The following is a 19,159-nucleotide window of genomic DNA, read 5'->3' on the forward strand; positions in this document are numbered from 1 at the left end:
CACAGGAAGTGCCTGCCTCTGGTCTTGGACAAAGACTGTGCTTCCCAGAAAAAAAAAAAAAAGAAAAATTAAAAATAAAAGAAATGAGACACAAAGGCTATATATTTTATGATTCCATGTATATGCAATATCTCCAACTGGCAAATACATAGAAACACAAAGTAGACTAGTGGAAACCTAGGATTGTGGGAGTTTGGGAGAAAATGGAAGAGGATTGCTAGTGGATCCTGTTTCCTCTCTCAGAGCCTTAAGTTGTTCACCTGCAAAAAAGATACAGCTCGCCAGGCGCGGTGGCTCACGCCTGTAATCCCAGCACTTTGGGAGGCTAAGGTGGGTGGATCACCTGAGGTCAGGAGTTCAAGACTAGCCTGACCAACATGGTGAAACCCCATCTCTAATAAAAATACAAAATTAGCCGGGCATGGTGGCAGGCGACTATAATCCCAGCTACTTGCGAGGCTGAGGCAGGAGAATCGCTTAAACCCAGGAGGCGGAGGTTGCAGTGGGCCGAGATGGTGCCATTGCACTCCAGCCTGGGCAACAAGAGCTAGACTCAGTCTCAAAAAAAAAAAAAAAAAAGATATAGCTCTACTGCCTACAAACTTCAACAGGTGTGTATGAAGGTCTTACAATTAACATATGTAAAAGTGAGATAATAAACAAAATATGTATACAATAGTAAGTACAGGCAGGAAACTACAAATTGACACAAAGAACATCTAAGTTAGAGAAAGGCCTCTGGAGAAGCTGAATCTACATTTCAGCCTAGAGTCTAGAACAGTATAGAAAATTAGTAGTTAAGCCAGGCATGGTGGCTCACGCCTGTAATCCCAGCACATTGGGAGGCCAAGGCAGGCAAATCACTTGAGGTCAGGAGTTCGAGAACAGACAGGCCAACATGGTGAAATCCCGTCTCAACTAAAAATACAAAAATTAGCCAGGCATGCTGGCATGCACCTGTAATCCCAGCTACTCAGGAGGCTGAGGCAGGAGAATCACTTGAACCCGGGAGGCAGAGGTTGCAACGAGCTGGGATCACCTCACTGCACTCTAGTGACAGAGCGAGACACTGTCTCAAAAAAAAAAAAAAAGAAAATTAGGGGGAAAAGGGAAGGTCATTCTAAGATGGGGAAGAATTTGCTAGAAGAGAAGCCTGATTATAAACAACTTGAGAGCAGGAATCGTCTTTCCCTCATTGTTCTAGCTCTTCACAGTACTTAGTACAGGGTATGCCTTTGATAGAATTATGTTTTTTGGATAGGAGTTAGCAAATAGGCAGATTTATATGAGTAGAGTAGACATAGAAAGTAATTATGATCCACAGCACTGAGCATCAAAACTAAGAAATGATCAGTATTAACTATAACAGACTTGTTTAGTCTGTTGGGCAAAATGAGTCCTAGATTCAGTGCCCATGATTCAGTGTAAACAAAACTGAATGAAGTCACCTCAACTCCAAACACTACACAAATGTACAAAAGGCTGCATTGTTGTCACCTGGAATATACATATTATCAACAAATATAATTTGTTTCATTTTCCACTATTTTTTACATCCGTAAAATCATTGGAGAACATGATTATTAATAGCTATATAAGGCTACACTAGAATTGATTTAATTGCAAAACTGCTACACAAGTTTCTCAAAGGCAGCAAAAGCACTCTTCTCGGGACTTAAAAACCCAAATGTTACTATTAGTTAAATATTTCATTTGCTGTTTTGTTTTGACACCCACCACCCACCCCCACTCCCGGCCCGAGCCAAAAAGTACCTGTTTTATCTGTCCCAAGGAAAATATTAGCTTTTTTTTTTTTTTTTTTTGGAGACAGGGTCTCACTATGTCACCCAGGCTGGAGTGCAGTGGCACAATCAGGTGCGTGCCACCATGCCTGGATAATTCTTTGGTATTTTTCGTAGAGATGGGTTTCACCATGTTGCCGAGGCTGGCCTTGAACTCCTGGGCTCAAGGGATCCACCTGTTTCACCCTCCCAAAGGGCTGGGATTACAGGTGTGAGCCACCACACCCAGCCTTATTTTCACTACATATTAAACAGTGTATCTTCTTAGTGTAATATTAAGACAGATTCCATACTGGTCCTCACCACTAAAAATTCTGCATAACATTCTCTAAAGAAATGTGTCTCAAGCAGTGCCATGTGCTTAAAGGGTACAGGTACTTCACTAAAGAAGAAAGTGGTCCAAGACATTCTAAAAGTAATACAATTACATGGTTATAAAAATTAGTAAGACTGAAAAATTGAGTTTAATAAAATTTTAAATTTGCCTGCTGCACTACAGTGTATTTATTCAGAAGACTGATATTTCTTTTTTCTTTTGAGAGGCAGTCTCACCTTGTCGCCCAGGCTGGAGTGCAATGGCGTGATCTCAGCTCACTGTAACCTCCATTTCCCGGGTTCAAGCAATTCTCCTGCCTCAGCCTCCCGAGTAGCTGGGATTACAGATGCGCATCACCACACCTGGCTAATTTTTTGTATCTTTAGTAGAAACAGGGTTTCACCAAGTTGGCCAGGCTGGTCTCGAACTCCTGAGCTTAAGTGATCCACCTGCCTCAGCCTCCCAAAGTACTTGGATTACAGGCGTGAGCCATTGTGCCCAGCTTTTTTTTTTTTTTTTTGACAGAGTTTCACTCTTGTTGCCCAGGCTGGAGTGCAGTGGCGCTATCTTGGCTCACTGCAACCTCCGCCTCCCGGGTTCAAGCAATTCTCCTGCCTGAGCCTCCCAAATAGCTGGGATTACAGGCACCCGCCACCATGTCTGGCTTTTTTGTGTTTTTAGTGGAGATGGGGTTTCATCGTGTTGGCCAGGCTGGTCTCGAACTCTTGACCTCAGATGATCCACCTGCTTTGGCCTCCCAAAATGCTGGGATTACAGGCGTGAGCTACCACGCTCGGCCTAGAAGACTGATATTTCAAGAGTATTCTTACATGACTTTGCTCAAATGTAGGACACACTGAGGAATAATAATACTTTGTAGTATCATTTATTAAAAGAAGTTTTTAGCAGGAAGGAATCTTTATTAAGTCCAGTATTACTTTTTTTTTTTTTTTTTTTTTGAGACAGAGTTTCACTCTTGTTGCACAGGATGGAATGCAATGGCGCAATCCCGGCTCACCGCAACCTGCACTGCCCAGGTTCAAGCGATTGTCCTGCCTCAGCCTCTCGAGTAGCTGGGATTACAGGCATGCACCACCACACCCGGGTAATTTTGTATTTTTGGTAGAGACGAGGTTTCTCCATGTTGGTCAGGCTGGTCTTGAACTCCTGACCTCAGGTGATCCACCCACCTCAGCCTCCCAAAGTGTTGAGATTACAGGTGTGAGCCACCGCAGTATTACCATTTTATGAGTGAGCAAATCTAGGTTAAGTTGCCTCTCCGAGGTAACTCAGCTGGAGGAGCAGAAAATAGGAATTAGGGAACTAGGTAATTTCTCTAAATGTAACACTTAATATAAACGAAGGAATATACTTATTGGCTGGGCATGGTGGCTCACATCTGTAATCCCAGACTTTTGGACAGTCAAGGACAAAGGATCACTTGAGGCCAGTAGTTTTGAGACCAGCCTGGGCAACACAACAAGACACTGTCTCTACAAAAATAAAAACAAAAATTGGCCAGATGTGGTGATGTTGCCTGTGGTCCTAGCTACCTCCAGAGGCTGAGGCAGGAGGATCACTTGAGCCCAAGAGTTTGAGGCTGCAGTAAGCTATGATGGTACCACTGCACTCCAGCCTGGGAGACGGAGCAAGGCTCTGTCTCTTTAAAAAAAAGAAAAAGCACACGCTTTTTGCAGAATAATAAGTACTGGTGAATTGACCCACCCACTTATGATACAGAACTGTCTGACAAAGCTTTCTGCCATAATGGAAATAATCTACACATACATTGTCCAATATGATAGCCACAAACCACATGTGGCTACTAACAATTGAAATGTGATTAGTGATTTTATTCCTGTTTTTAAAAAATGCTTATTTATATCTTTTGCCCAATTATCTATTTACTTTTTTGTTTGCTTTGTTTTTTTGAGACGGAGTCTTGCTCTGTTGCCCAGGCTGGAGTGCAGTGGCGTGATCTCAGCTCACCACAACCTCCACCTCCCGGGTTCAAGCGATTCTCCTGTCTCAGCCTCCTGAGTAGCTGGGACTACAGGCCCATTGCAGGATGCCCGGCTAATTTTTGTATTTTTAGTAGAGACAGGGTTTCACTATGTTGGCCAGGCTGGTCTTGAATTCCTGACCTCGTGATCTGCATGCCTCAGCCTCCTAATGTGCTGGGATTACAGGTGTGTGCCACCATGCCTGGCCTATTTATTGGTTCTAATATTGATTTGTAGGCATGCTTTATATATTTTAGATACCAATACTTTGTCAGTTATGTGTGCTACAGATAGCTTCTCTAAGTTTGTATCTTGCCTCTTCACTTTCTTTAATTTTCTTTTTAAAAAAATTGAGATAGGGTCTTGCCATATTGTTCAGGCTTGTCTCAAACTCCTGGACTCAACAGATCTGCCTGTCTTGGCCTCCCAAAGTGCTGAGATTACAGGTGTGAGCCACCACACCTGGCTGCCTCTTCACTTTCTTCATGGTGTCTTCTGTTCTTAATTTTAATACAGTTGAATTTGTCTCTTATTTGTGTATTATTTTAAAACGGTTTGCATATTCTGAGCCTATAACATTTATCTTTTTAGGTTTTAAAGTTGTCTTTTACATTTAGGTCTTTAATCCACTGGAAATTTTTATGTTTGGCGTAAGGCAGGGATACAAGGTACAATTTCATTTTTCTCATGTGGATATTCACTTGTCTCTCCATTCTCCTTTCGCCATTTATCTGCAATGTCTTCTGTTTTATATTGCATTTCCAAACATGTGTGACTACGATTCTAAGCCCTTTAGTCTGTTTCACTGGTTAGTCTATTCCACACCAATGCCACACTAAATTTTACTTGCCGTAGTACTGATATTTGGTAGAGCAGGTCCTCAAATCTATCATCTATTCTTTCCTTCTTTATTATTATTATTTTTTTTTTTTTGAGACAGAGTATTGCTCTGTGGCTCAGGCTGGGGTGCAGTGGCGCATTCTCAGCTCACTGCAACCTCTGTCTCCTGGGTTCAAGCGATTCTCCTGCCTCAGCCTCCCAAGTAGCTGGGGTTACAGGTGCCCACCACCATGCCCAGTTTTTACATTTTTTAGGAGAGACGAGGTTTCACCATGTTGGCCAGGCTGCTCTTGAACTCCTGACCTCAAGTGATCCGCCCACCTCGGCCTCCCGAAGTGCTGGGATTAGAGGCGTAAGCCACCACACCCAGCCCTCATATCTATTTTTTTTCCATAATAATGTCAAGGTTATCCTTGGCCTTCTGCTCTTCTGAATGAATTTTAGAATCAGTTTGAAGTTTCCAAGAAATGCATTGACCCTATAGATAAATTTGGAGAGAACTGACAATCTTCACATCTATGAAACTGGGATATCTATTTAATTAGATTTTTTACTTTCTCCATAGTTGCTTAATTTTTTAATGTACTGATCACTTCTCCATCGATTTTTTCTGCAACAAAATTATTTCTAAGTTTTAAAAAATTTTAAATTCATTTTTTTTTATTTTTTTGAGATGGGGTCTCCCTCTGTTGCCCAGGCTGGAGTGCAGTGGCACGATCTTGGGCCACTGTAACCTCCACCTCCCAGGTTCAAGTGATTCTCCTGCTTCAGCCTCCCGAGTAGATGGGATTACAGGAGCGGGCCACCACGCCTGGCTTATTTTTTTGTATTTTTAGTAGAGATGGGGTTTCACCATGTTGGACAGGCCGATCTCGAACTCCTGGCCGCAGGTGATCTACCCGCCTCGGTCTCCCAAAGTGCTGGAATTACAGACGTGAGCTACCGTGCCTGGCCTTACATTTATTTCTACTTTTTAGAGACACGGTCTCGTTCTGTCTCCCAGGCTGGCAAGCAGTGGCACAATCATAGCTCTCTGCATACTCAAACACCAGGGCTCAAGCTATTCTCCTGCCTCAGCCTCTCAAGTAGCGGGGACTACAGGCATGAGTAACTGTGCCTAGACTAAAATTATTTCTAGATATTAAACAATATTATTTGCAGACTGCAGTGAATGGTCAGGAAACTTCATATATTTGCTGCACTGACTTGTTTCTGATTGGTTTCCTTAATTTATACAGCCAACAAATACTTATTAATAATAAGCTACCCCAGCCTGGCCAATATGACGAAACCTCGTCGCTACTAAAAATACAAAAAAAATTAGCCGGGCTTGGTGGTGGGCGCCTGTAGTCCCAGCTACTCAGGATGCTAAGGCAGGAGAATCGCTTGAACCCAGGAGGCGGAGATGGCAGTGAGCAGAGATCGCGCCACTGCACTTCAACCTGGGTGACAGAGCGAGACTCCGTCTCAAAACAAACAGTAATAATAATAATAAGCTACCTATGTGCCAGACTCTATGCTATGCACTGATGGGGAAAAAAAAATCCTCTACTATTCTACTCTCACCCTTGAAAAAACCATTGTCTCTCTTCTTTTCCTTCATTCCAGTGCCACCAAAAATATGCTCTATGTTTGAATCTTAACTTGAACAATTCTTCCCATCGGACAATCCATCATCCTCTGCACATTAAAACTTGAATGGTTCTTTTAATTTCACATGCTCTGAAGAGGAGACAGAAAGGGTAGCATTATGATACTTCTCTTCCTACAAGATCTGCACCTGTCGCAGTAGATAAATTCATTCAAGTCACTTACATAAACAATTTCAATCTTAGGACTTCAAAACCTCCCACGGGTATGTAAACTGCCCCAACAAAGAAAGAGGCAAGTATAACAAAAATGGCATAAACTATGGTTTCTGCATTAGGAAGTCTTAAGAAGCATTAAGAATTATTTAAGGCCGGGTGCGGTGGTTCATACCTGTAATTCCACCACTTTGGGAGGCTCAGGCGAGTGGATCACTTGAGGTCAAGAGTTCGAGACCAGACTGGCCAACATGGTGAAAACCCATCTCTACTAAAATACAAAAATTAGCCAGGCATGGTGGCACGCGCCTGTAGTCCCAGCTACTTGGGAGGCTGAGGCACGAGAATCGGCTTGAACCCGGGAGGTGGAGGTTGCAGTGAGCCTAGATCGCACCACTGCACTCCAGCCTGGGGGACAGAGCAAGACTCTGTCAAAAAAAAAAACACAAAAAACAAAAAACCACCTTAACTAGGAAACTGGTGAAAACTAGTCTTCTTAACTAGAAAATTGGCGGGGATTCCCTCAGATTGTACACCGGAAACTCAGGCTAGTCAGGTCTCAGAAATATAGGTCAGATTTCTAGGTCGGCCCGCCTACTCCCCAGCCTTCCAACATTAAGATCTCTCCAGGGCCTTCAAGCTCTGTCTTCATCTCTAAATCTACTCAGGTCTTTCATTCACTGCACAGTTACTTAGTACCTATGGTGTTGTCAAACATAGTGGCTAGAGGAAGGGAATACAAAAGCACAATGTCTGCAGTCAAAGGGGCTCACAGCAAGATTACGGTTTGTAAATACATAATTACTCCACAATGTGATAATCGATATCTTTCAAAACAGAAGGGTTGATTCAATCTTACAGGGAGTGACTGAGTTGGGTCTTACAAAGGATGAGCTTTGCAATTCAAGAAAAAAGAAAAAAAAGGCAGACCATTTCAGCAGAGAGAAAGAGAGAAAGGCGTGGTTAGGCGTGTGCTGGGAGCTGTTTGAGGTCAGTGAAGCTGGGGGTATGAGGAGGGCTCGCACCAGGTGGAGGTTGGGAAACCTCAGAGTTGCGGGAGAAATCAGAATCCAGGTCCCCTCAGCCTCCCTGGGGCCGCGCCCCATAGCCGGTTTCAGACCAGCCGCCCCGGCTCCAAGCCCCACTACAAGCCGGGAAACGCAAAACGGAGGCAACCTGGCCAAAGGCAGAGGCACCCCCCGCAAGACCCTGAGGACCCAAACTGGCCCAGCGGACTGCCCGCACCTTGCCAAGCAGCCGTCTCAGGCCCTCGCAGTCGAACTCCATCTCCAGGCCGGTCCCGAGCTAGGTCCCAGGACTCCAGCCCCCGGACCTTCTTCCGGACTTGCTGCAGGACGGAAGCCGCTGAGGACCAAACTTCCCGGCGGTCCAAGGCCCCGCCCCTTCCCAGACTGGAAATTCCACCCGCATTCAACGCCCCGGGCTCAGCCGCGGCTGCGCCCGGAATCCGGGGCCTCTCCTTCGTGACCCCGGAGTGGGCAAGTGACGAGGGCACGGCCAGAAACGCATTGGCGTCAAGGAAACCACGACCCATCTTCCTGGAAGGAAACTTGGGGACACTTATGAAGAGAAGACTAGGAAGGACCGGAGTAGAAGCACTAAAGGAGGTAGAGGCAACACGCGGTGTTCTTGAAGAGTTTCCAGACAGATGTATTAAATTCCACAGTGTATCAGGAAAGAGCAAGACCGAAAATTGCAGTTGAATTTAGGAAGGAGGCGGTAATGGAACTTCAGAAGCAAAATTTCAGGGAGTAGAAAGGAAAAACAAAGTCAGGAGGAGCCTTGCCGGAGAAGCGGAGATAGGACAGCCCCAGCATGAGGGTGGCTTAGCACGGGGAGAGTGGTTGCTTTTTTTATTTTTTTTAGGGGTGCCATAACAATGTTGGTGGTCAAAGAGAGGAGAAATCCAGGTGAACAAATAGTTGGAAAACAAGAGAGGAGGGAGATGGGTGGATAAGGTCATCTGGAGAAGGTGGGTGAAGAAGAGATGCAGGATACAGTAATTTTCTGGCGTTGTTTGATCTCCTTGGCCCATGGCTGACTTACCTGCCCTGTATCCCTGGCCTGAGCCACTGAAGCGAAAAGTCCCAGGAGCTGGATATTGTAATTGTCAAGAGGTTGGACATATAGGAGAGAGATTGTATTTATAGGAAGATCTGAAGGGAGTGCTGCCCTGACTCAGGAGAAGAAGCTGAAAAGCTGGAAGGAACATTCATTCAGAAAGTTTTTGTTGAGCATCTACTACTTGCCAGCTATTTTTCCAGGTCTCAGGATACAGCCGTGAACAAAATACACTCAGATAGCTGATGTCTTAAGGGTGTCATTCCTTTATTAGCAGAGAGAGAGCAAAACAATAAATGTAATAAGTAAATTATTCAGCATGTCAGAAGGTTGATTACGTGTTGTGGAGAATAAATTCTGAAAAGGGTAGGGAGATTGGGGTAGGTCTCACTGAGGGGTGAGGGAGTAAGTGTTACGAATCCGAGTGCAGACAAAGCAGTAGCCTAAGGCATGTGCCCAGGGAGGCTCAACACAGCAAGGAGGCCAGTGTGGCTGGAGTAGAATGAAGTAAGATGGGAGTGGAGACAAGGAGGCTAAGTCAGGGAAATAAGACGGGGGAACAAGTGGTTTAGAGAAGTGAGTCTTCTAGTGTGAGCCCCAGATCTGCAGCCTCAGGTGCTGGGAGTTGTTAGAAATGCAGATGCTAAGACCTCAACCCCAGCTTTATTCAATCACAGGCTCTGGGGTTGGGGACCAGCAATTCTCTTTTAACAATTCTTCCAGATGATTCTGATGGGTGATGAAGTCCAAGAACCACTGTGGGACTTTGTAGACAATTGTAAGGACTCTGGCCTGTCCCTGCCCTCCAGCCAGAGACCATCAGGAACACACCTGTGCTTAAACAAGTTGAGTTCATTATTAATAGTTCTTGCAGTGAGGAAGCAGGTGTTGTGGAGGACCATTGGGACAGCTTGGTGAGGGTGAGAGAACCTATTATAGAATTTGGGCGATTTGCGGGAGGGCTCAAGAAAGCCAGGCTTCACCCTGGATTGGGTGCTGTCAGAAAGCAGGGACATTTCTGTGACTAGGTATCTGAATAAGTATTGTCTATAAGATGGACAGACTAGAGTGAGGATAAAGCTATACCTAGTAAAGAAGCAGCAGTCACTCATAATAGCAGAGAAGGACGTTTGGTATTTCATGGCTTGCACAGTGACCTTGCTCTCTTGTCTCTGCTTAGACACAATTTTGAAATGGCCTTGTTGTTGTGTCCCTTTTTTATAGTCTGACTGACCTTGTCTCATGTTGGTGTTCTGTGAGATTATGTCCCACAGAAGAATAACTGGGCCAAGCTGTGAGCATCAGGCCAGCTTCTAACAACCCTGAAGTCTAGCTGTGTCAGACCAGCTCTCAGATGTCAGGGCCTGCCTCTTCCTTTCTCAGGCTTTTAATCTGGGAGAAAGAGAAAGCCACTGGGAGGTTTCGAACAGAACAGTGACATGATCTGACTGAGCTTTAAAAAAATATTAATAACTCTGCAGTGTTGTGAAGAGGCAGTAGTGTCAGGCAAGAGTAGGCCAGAAGACAAGGTAGGAGGAAGATTACAGAGAAAAGCTGATAGAAGGGCTGTTAAGTGCATCTCAGCCAGATCTAACCAACCTTAAAACAGTAGAACTGCCAGGGGCTCCAAATTCTAATAGATCCTGCCAGAAATCCGTGGTATAAGGAAAAGATACCAGTTAGCAGCAAGGCCAGAGCAAGATTCTTCCATCTTTTATGAAAGAGCCTTTTATGAAAGAGGCCTTCCAACCAAACCAATTCTCTTCTGGTCTAGTCACTATGCACACTTTATGCCAGAGAGAGTGTGAGTGAGTGAGTGTGTGTGTGTGTATGTAGCATTTCCTTTGTGGAAGGTATACTGCTAAGAGTTTTATGTGCTTTATCTCCGTTCATCTTCATAAGACCCTATGACCTGGATAGAATTATTACCTCAATTTTACTGATAAGAAAATTGAGGTGTATTGTTATATTACCTATTTTACTTGTTTCTGAGGTTCTGTTGAATAAGAGATGTATTAATGATAGCTTTTGGGGGGAGAAGAAAACTACAAAATTAAACATACATACTGATTTTAACACACCTATTTGAAAAGAATGTAAATGTGAAATAGAGGATATGTATATAATTGTCTCCATTTTACAGATAGGGAAACCAAAGACTAAGGTTAAATTACTGCAGAAGATGATGTCAAAGACTGTCTTCCTAAACTACATGTTATAGTGCCTCTCACTGTGGGTGAAATTGTGATGACACTTTGTGATTAATAATAGTCTAGGAAATCAGCCAGGTGTGGTGGCTCATGCCTGTAATCCCAGCACTTTGGGATGCCCAGGCAGGCGTATCATCTGAGGTCAGGAGTTCGAGACCAGCCTGGCTAACATGGCGAAACCTCATCTCTGCTAAAAATACAAAAATTAGCTGGATGTGGCGGCAGGTGCCTTTCATCCCAGCTCTTTGGGAGGCTGAGGGAGGGAGAATTGCTTGAAGTTGGGAGGCAGAGGTTACAGTGAGCCGAGATCTTGCCACTGTATTCAGCCTGGGCAACAGAGTGAGATTCCATCAAAAAAAAAAAGGTCTACAAAGTCTGAATTATGTGCTTATATTGCTATGCAGTTACAAGAGAAAGGCTGTGTAGTACTGAAATTGGCTTTTTTTTTTAAGCCTCTCCCTTGACTTCCATCCTGACCACCAGGCTACCCTCATCTCCTGAAACTGGTGCTATTAGATCCTATAATCCAGTTAGGCTGAAACATTCACTCTTCCCCAAGTACATTGTCTTCTTCCTTGCCTCATACCTTAGTAGCTGCCAGGAGTGTTTTATTATACTTTTGTACCTGTCTACCTCCATCTCCACTCCTCTTTCTGTCCTCAGATACTGTAAGGCCCTGGCAAATAGGGGTTGAATCTCATTCATCTCTATATTCCCAGTGCCTAGCATAATTATTTATGCATATATTCCTTCTTATATGTAGAAAGCCAGATATAAAGAACCTGCAGTGGAAAGTTTGCAGAATGAATGAACGTATAAGGTGATCAATGCCTTAAGGAGAAGAAGGTATAGTGTACTAGTTCTCAGCCTTATCTGGGCTTCAGACTTTTTTTTAAAACGTCTGTTGAGACCGGGCTCAGTGGCCCACTCCTGTAATCCCAACACTCTGGGGCTAAGACAGGAGGATCACTTCGGCCCAGGAGTTTGAGACCAGTCTGTTTTGTAGACCCAACTCTACAAAAAATTTAAAAATTAGCCGGGCATGGTGGTGCACACCTGTAATCCCAGCTACTTGGGAAACTAGAGCAGGAGGATCTCTTGCGCCCAGGGGGCTGAGGCTGCACTGAGCTGTGTTTGTGCCACTGCATTCCAGCCTGGGTGACAGAGCAAGATCGTGTCTCAAAAAAAAATCTGTTGAAGATATAGACCTGTCCCTGTATACATACTCATGTATACAGTTTGTTTTGTGTCCAGTTTCTGGAATGTTTGTAGATTTACTGAAGTCTGCTAGACCCCAAGTGTCGTTGGTGGGATCATAATTTGCTACAACCTTTGGGCAGAGTAGTCTTGGACCTTTGACCCCATAATGCCACATTGGGAATCTGTCTTACAGAAATAAAAGTACTCAGGATATATGTACAAAGATGTTAATAATGTTAAAAGGGGCAAAAATGTCCCAAACTAAGAAATGGGAAAAGTGTATATGCTGCATCTTTGTAAGTTTTAGAAAAAACACAAAAATGGCTTGTTTAAAATTAGAGCTTGTTTTTTTTTTTTTTTGGTGCTGTACTTCTGATCTCTCTTTATACCCTTTGTTGCTTTCATGATTATTGGCCCTAGCAGACATATTAGGGGACAAAACCTTGTTATTCCAGATATCACACATATATGTATTCTTATCATATACTTCTTTTTTTTTTTTTTTTTTGAGATGGAGTCTTGCTCTGTCGCCCAGGCTAGAGTGCAGTGGCACAATCTTGGCTCACTGCAACGTCTGCCTCCTGGGTTCAAGTGATTCTCCTGTTGTAGCCTCCCGAGAAGCTGAGATTACAGGTGTGCACCACCATACCTGGCTAATTTTTGAATTTTTAGTAGAAACAGGATTTCACCATGTTGGTCAGGCTGGTCTCGAACTCCTGACCTCAGGTGATCCACCCACCTCTGCCTCCCAAAGTGCTAGGATTACAGGAGTGAGCCACCGCACCTGGCCTATCATATACTTCTTAAATGTATAGAACTTAACTGTTGTGTTCATTGACAGCAATTTTGTATCTCAGGTCATTCTTCCTGAAATATCCTTTGTAACAACCTATGTTTTTATGATATTGTGAATTAAAACTGCAATTTTTCTTAAGCTAATTCTTTTTGTAAGGATTTTATTTTATTTTATTTTATTTTATTATTTTTTGAGACAGAGTCTCCTCTGTCGCCCAGGCTGGAGTGCAGTGCTGCAGTCTCTGCTTATTTCAACCTCTGCCTCCCAGGTTCAAGCAATTCTCATGCCTTCACCTCCTGAGTAGCTGGGATTACAGGCACCCGCCACCATGCCCAGCTAATTTTTTGTATATTTAGTAGAGATGGGGTTTCACCATGTTTGCCAGGCTGATCTCGAACTCCTGGCCTCAGGTGATCCACCTGCCTCCTCCTCCCAGAGTGCTGAGATTACAGGCCTAAGCCACTGCACTGGGCCCGTAAGGATTTTATACAGCCTCTGCATTTTCATACTGTGTCTAAACTTGCATACTCTTTTTTTTTTTTTTTTTTTTTTTTTGAGATAGAGTCTCCTCTGTCACCCAGGCTGGAGTGCAGTGGCGCAATCTCAGCTTACTGCAACCTCTGCCTCCCAGGTTCAAGTGATTTTCCTGCCTCAGCTTCTCGAGTAGCTGGAATTACAGGCATGCGCTACCACACCCGGCTAATTTTTGTATTTTTAGTAGAGATGGGATTTTGCCCTGTTGGCCAGACTGGTCTAGAACTTCTCATCTCAGGTGATCCACCCACCTTGGTCTCCCAAAGTGCTGGGATTACAGGCATGAGCCACTGCACCCAGCCTGAACTTGCATACTTTCTTGTCATCTTTTTGCTTCCCTGGTTAACAAGAAAAAAATTGGCCATGATTAGAAATTTGTTGAAGAAAAAAAATTTTTTTCACCACCAATACATTTATTCATTTATTTGCAGGAGATGGGGTCAAATCTTACCACTAACTTTTTTTTTTTTTTTTGAGACGGAGTCCCGCTGTGTTGCCCAGGCTGGAGTGCAGTGGCGCAATCTCAGCTCACTGCAACCTCTAACTCCTGGGTTCAAGAGATTCTCCTGCCTCAGCCTTCCGAGTAGCTGGGATTATGGGTGCCCACCACCACGCCCAGCTAATCTTTTTTGTATTTTTAGTAGACATGGGGTTTCACTATATGTTGACCAGTCTGGTCTCAAACTCCTGATCTCAAGTGATCCACCCACTTCGGCCTCCCAAAGTGCTGGGATTACAGGCGTGAGCCACTGCGCCTGGCCTTATGAACTTTTAAGCTAGGTAGGACTAGACACACTGATCTGCCTAACCTCTGGGTATTTATCCTGCACACAAGGCATCACCAGTAAATACATGAGCATTAGATGAGGGGGATGCATTCTGACTAATCACATGATTAGCTATTCAGAGGAAGATACTGCCCTTGTATCAAAAGTAGTGTTGAGAAAAATAAAGGCAGAGCCTAGCATTTGCCTCCTAGCACAGGCTGAAACATGCTAGTGGCCTTGTGCAGAAGAATGATGCTTTCAGCTGAGCTGCAAGATAGGAGCTGGACCAACTGGGGGCTTGGACAGGGGTGGGATCTGACCTGATTAGGCTTTCCCCATCCAATCTGGGCCTCCAAAAGCCGTTCTCTGGCCCTCTGGACAAGGCAGACTCAGCAAATCTGGGAGGTATGGGGATTCTGCCAATTCCCCACCTAGCCCCACCTCCCCCAGGTTTGGCAGGCGATCTAATCCCCAGGGTGCAGCCCCACCCCCACCTGACCCCACATCTGGACAAACACATGGCAAATATGGAAACTGAAGCCCAGCTGGGCTGGAGCACATCTGGTTGTTGCTGCATTGGAGTCATCTTGCAGATATCCTGAGATAATCAGGCCTCACCCACAGTGGCCATGTTGAGACAGCAGTTGTTTTTTTTTAAAGATGATTCACGTTGCTCCAGGCGAAAGCATGATCCTGATGACACGTGGGGAAAAGCAGGCTGGAGCCTCAGAAGAGCTGGCCCTGCACACTCAGGTACTTACAGCAGTAAATCCAGGATTTGAACACCAGGGAGTAAGGAGAGGGCCCAGCCTGCGGCCTGCAGTTGTTCACAGCCATGAGGCTGCCAACTGGCAGGAAAGGGTAGGTCAGCATGCTCACTGCGATCTCCATCACAAACTTGGTGTAGCTTTGGATGGTCAGGGCCTGGCCTAACTGGGAACCCCGATTCTGGTCATTTCTCAGCCCCTCTAGGTGTCACTCACTCTGTCATCCGCCAGGTGGGCATTGATAAAGTGGGCCAGCAGGTTATAGCCTCACAAGAAAACTACTTCACCCGGGACATGAGGGATCAAGCCAACAAAGAATCCCAGTGGCCCTTTCTCTTTGAAAATCTTCCCAGTGGAGCTCAGCACACCACTGTACTTAACCTCCCATCCCACAAATTAGACCATGCAGCACATCAAGATGGCATGCAGGGGGTGGGCCAACATACAGGACGCACACTGCATCATCATCCCCTAGGAGGTCTCCTTCACTGCTTGCTTCAGAGAAGTCTTCATATCCATCCTTATTGGAAACCTGCTTGATTTCATCTGGAGGGAAAACCTTCACGCTGCCCCTGGTTACAAAGGAGAGGGGTCACATCAGTTGGGGGCTCAGACCTCGGAACAGCCCTGTCTTGCCATCCATCACACCCATGCCCAGTGCCACAAAAAGCTTCAGTGGTCAGGGAGTTGTCTTCAGGACCCAGGACCCAGGACCCAGGACCCACCATCCATTCTTCTGGCCAAGGGTAGCATGGATGTGCGTGGGCAGTCTCGACCTTCATTGCAAGTTCCTGCTCCAGCTCCTCTGCTTCTGCCATCTCCGTGGCACTACCACAAGCCCAGGGCCAGAAATTTTAACAATCACAGCATTGTTTATGATGGTAAAAATTGGGAAAAAAATCCTAATGCATATTATGCCAGTTATTTATTGCCTTTCAGTTCCAAATCCATCATTTATTGCTTGCTCTACCATAATGAAGCTGGGCCCTGTAAGCATTTCTTCCTCGTTAGTGGACAGGCTAACGTTTTGTCAGTAGAGGGCCTTCAGAGGATACTACAAGAGGAAGGGCTTTCTCTTCTTAGTTCCAGTGTGTGTCTATTCGTGATTCTGTGTGGCTGCCAGTGGCATATATGGGGACTTCTAGTGGCACTCACCGTGTCAAGTATCAGTGGCTCCACTGCGGACTTCTTCCACACCTGTGTCACTGAGACAATTGACCAGTGAGTTCCACAAGCACCCATTGCCAGCTTTAGCCTGCAGCAGCTCATTAGACCTCTACCGTCCAGTTGGTCATGTCCACAACTCCTCCAACATGTTTTGGATCTCAGCCCTGGAGGGGAGGGGACTATTCCAAATTTATTTCTTCCTTGGGTACTTTGCCTCAGCCCTAGAGGTAGTGGCTGCTCCCTATATATGCTATTCCTGTAATATGTAACACTTTCTACCCCTTCTATAGTCGGTCACTTGCTCCTAGTTGATAATTCTCTTTATTAAAATTTTCAAATTACTGTCTGGTTTTCTGTCTCCTGACTGGACTTGACCTACTGTATCATTGGGAGCAAGATGAAATAAACTAGAATATTGTGCAAGAATTAAAAAAGAATAACCTAAGCTAGGCACAGTGGCTTATGCCTGTAATCTCAGCCCTTTGGGAGGACGAGGCAAGAGGCTTACTTGAGCCCAGGAGTTTGAGACCTGCCTGGTCAACATAGCAAGACCCTGCCTTTACAAAAAAAAAAAAAAATTAGCCAGGCATGGTGGTGCGCACTTGTAGTCCCAGCTACTTGGGAGGCTGAGGTGGGAGGATTGCTTGAGCCCAGGAGTTCAAGGCTGCAGTGATCTGTGACTGTGCCACTGCACTCCAGCCTTGACAACAAAGCAAGACTGTCTCCAAAAAGAAGAACATACACTTCTGCTTCTGCCTGTGAAGGATCAACTGTTACAGAAATTACCTTCTCTTCATAAATAGAAAATTGCACAAAACATGAAATAATTGTTTTCAGATCTTGTACAAGAGACAGCACAAAACTGTGTACTTTGAGAGAAAGGAAACCAGTGACGGTGAGTCCTACAATTGCTCCAGCCAGGAGGCAGTTTTCAGACTGTGGCACAGAAAGGAGTTACCCAACTGAGCATTTCACTGAGTTGAAGAGAAAGATAGCAAAATACAGCAGAGGCCAGAATTTGCAGGATGGAGTGCTAAGAAGAGGGATCTCCATGGAGAAAGCTCTGTAGATTTCCACAGGGGCCCTTATAAGTCTTTGGCTGAGTTCTGTCTGCACATATATGGGATAAAACTCGATGAGGCCTGGAAAAGATCCACCCAAAAGCAGTCGGCCAAACACTTCTTGGAGTTCCTGAAGGGCAGGGAATTGTGGAACATTCCACAGATTTGGAAGATCTATGCCGGGCACAGTGGCTCACACCTGTAATCCCAGCACTTTGGGAGACTGAGGCGGGCGGATCACCTGAGGTCAGGAGTTCGAGACCAGACTAACCAACGTGGAGAAACCCTGTCTCTACTAAAAATACAAAATTAGCCGGGCGTGGTGGTGCATGCCTGTAATCCCAGCTACTCAGGAGGCTGAGGCAGGAGAATCACTTGAACCCAGGAGGCGGAGGTTGCAGTGAGCCAAGATCACGCCCTTGCACTCCAGCTTGGGCAACAAGAGCAAAGCTCTGTCTCCAAAAAAAAAAAAAAAAAAAAAAAAAAGCTCTAATACAATCAGCCTCAGAGAAGGTGCTCAGAGAAAATGGTCATTAACTCAGCAGTGCGGATATTAACCCTAGAGTAAAGGCTGCTCCTGGCCTATCATAAAGCTTCAAACAAGCCTCAGAAGAATCAAACTGATCGCAAGTAACTTAAGTGCACCTTAGAATAAAATTTAACACTGTTGAATACAACAAAATCCAGCACTCGGCAATAAAATTTACCATGTTCAACATCTAATCAAAAGTTGTAAGACATTTAAAGAAGCAGGAAATATCACAACAGGCCAGGCGCGGTGGCTCATGCCTGTAATCCCAGGACTTTGAGAGGCTGAGGCGGGTGGATCACCTGAGGTCAGGAGTTCGAGACCAGCCTGGCCAACATGGTGAAACACCATCTCTACTAAAAATACAAAAATTAGCCAGGCGTGGTGGCGGGTGCCTCTAATCCCAGCTACTTGGGAGGCTGAGGCAGGAGAATCACTTGAGCCCAGGAGGCGGAGGTTGCAGTGAGCTGAGATTGCACCACTGCACTCCAGCCTGGGCGACAGAGCAAGACTCTGTCTCAAAAAAAAAAAAATTGTAGAGATGAAAAATACATTAAATGTCCATGATGTTGTAGCAGAAAAGCAAAAAATATCTTTGGTGACCTCTGAGAGGGTGTCTAATAGTGGGGTGGGGCTAGAAGTCAGAATGTAATGCATGGAAGAGGCGTAGATTGGAAAAAGCTTTGAGTATGGACCACTTGTTTAGGAAGTTTGGTCATAAAAGGAAATTAAGAAATAAGACAGGGAAGGAGCCACAGTATCATCTGGAAGTTTTTTTGAGGAAAGGACAGGGGTACCTGTGGCTTCATGATGGCCAAGAAAAGAGAATCAATGGAGAGGAACTAATCCAAGGTGATGAAGATGTGGATATACCATCATGCTGAGGATCCCCTTGACATGGGGAGAGGAGGTTTTGCAGGGACAGAAATAGAGACATCTGTCTCATTTACCTGTAATTCAGTTTGTTTCGTTCACATGTCGTACACCTAGCAGCAAAACACCTTTCCAAATCTCTGCCTCTAGTGTAAAGAGCCCAGCTGCCCAAGAGGCAGCTGAGTCCTAAGTCTTGGCCCTGATCTGGAGCATCAGCTATGTGCTGTAGTGCGGGTCACTTAGGCTGTAGTCTAAGCCTTAGTTTTCTGATTAGTGAAATGGGGTTAACAATAATGCCTACTTCATAGTGTTGCTGTTTGCTGCTCAGCTGCTGGTCTGGGGGCAGTGTCTCTGGTGTGTTTTGAGTCTGGGCCATATGGTCAATGATGTCACAATGCCCTACTAGA

The 19,159-nt window shown here is 45.0% G+C and overlaps 1 protein-coding gene, 1 long non-coding RNA gene and 1 pseudogene across 8 annotated transcripts in view, besides 5 other annotated features; all 3 read right to left on the bottom strand.

Annotated features, from left to right (window-relative positions):
- The window catches only part of UEVLD (UEV and lactate/malate dehyrogenase domains), a 59,126-nt gene extending 50,993 nt beyond the window's left edge, over positions 1-8,133 (bottom strand). For all 7 annotated transcript variants that reach the window (NM_001261384.3, NM_001261383.3, NM_001261382.3 and 4 more), the window contains exon 1: positions 8,012-8,133. Coding sequence is in view for 6 of the 7 variants with exons in the window: in NM_001261383.3 (NP_001248312.1) it covers positions 8,012-8,053 (42 nt within the window). In the remaining variant the exon portion in view is untranslated. The remainder of the gene's footprint in view (positions 1-8,011) is intronic.
- Positions 7,181-7,290: an enhancer, noted in NCBI's record as "active region_4503". NCBI's record gives its function as "activates an Ori minimal core promoter by ATAC-STARR-seq in GM12878 lymphoblastoid cells {active_cell/tissue: GM12878}" and the evidence as "EXISTENCE:reporter gene assay evidence [ECO:0000049][PMID:35858748]".
- Positions 7,691-7,840: an enhancer, noted in NCBI's record as "active region_4504". NCBI's record gives its function as "activates an Ori minimal core promoter by ATAC-STARR-seq in GM12878 lymphoblastoid cells {active_cell/tissue: GM12878}" and the evidence as "EXISTENCE:reporter gene assay evidence [ECO:0000049][PMID:35858748]".
- Positions 7,881-7,940: an enhancer, noted in NCBI's record as "active region_4505". NCBI's record gives its function as "activates an Ori minimal core promoter by ATAC-STARR-seq in GM12878 lymphoblastoid cells {active_cell/tissue: GM12878}" and the evidence as "EXISTENCE:reporter gene assay evidence [ECO:0000049][PMID:35858748]".
- Positions 8,001-8,295: an enhancer, noted in NCBI's record as "tiled region #13786; HepG2 Activating DNase unmatched - State 1:Tss, and K562 Activating DNase unmatched - State 1:Tss". NCBI's record gives its function as "activates a minimal TATA promoter and a strong SV40 promoter by Sharpr-MPRA in HepG2 and K562 cells {active_cell/tissue: HepG2 | K562}" and the evidence as "EXISTENCE:reporter gene assay evidence [ECO:0000049][PMID:27701403]".
- Positions 8,201-8,250: an enhancer, noted in NCBI's record as "active region_4506". NCBI's record gives its function as "activates an Ori minimal core promoter by ATAC-STARR-seq in GM12878 lymphoblastoid cells {active_cell/tissue: GM12878}" and the evidence as "EXISTENCE:reporter gene assay evidence [ECO:0000049][PMID:35858748]".
- Positions 9,492-18,946, bottom strand: LOC112268073 (uncharacterized). The gene is made up of 4 exons (XR_002957242.2): positions 18,830-18,946; positions 13,840-13,926; positions 9,935-10,240; positions 9,492-9,679 (listed from the first exon to the last, which is right to left on the bottom strand). It is a non-coding gene; the product is annotated as an uncharacterized LOC112268073 (long non-coding RNA).
- On the bottom strand, positions 13,991-15,803 carry MTCH1P2 (MTCH1 pseudogene 2; annotated as a pseudogene).
- Positions 18,947-19,159: the final 213 nt, after the last annotated feature.

This window comes from Homo sapiens, chromosome 11 (assembly GCF_000001405.40).
Source record: "Homo sapiens chromosome 11, GRCh38.p14 Primary Assembly".
NCBI lineage: Eukaryota > Metazoa > Chordata > Mammalia > Primates > Hominidae > Homo > Homo sapiens.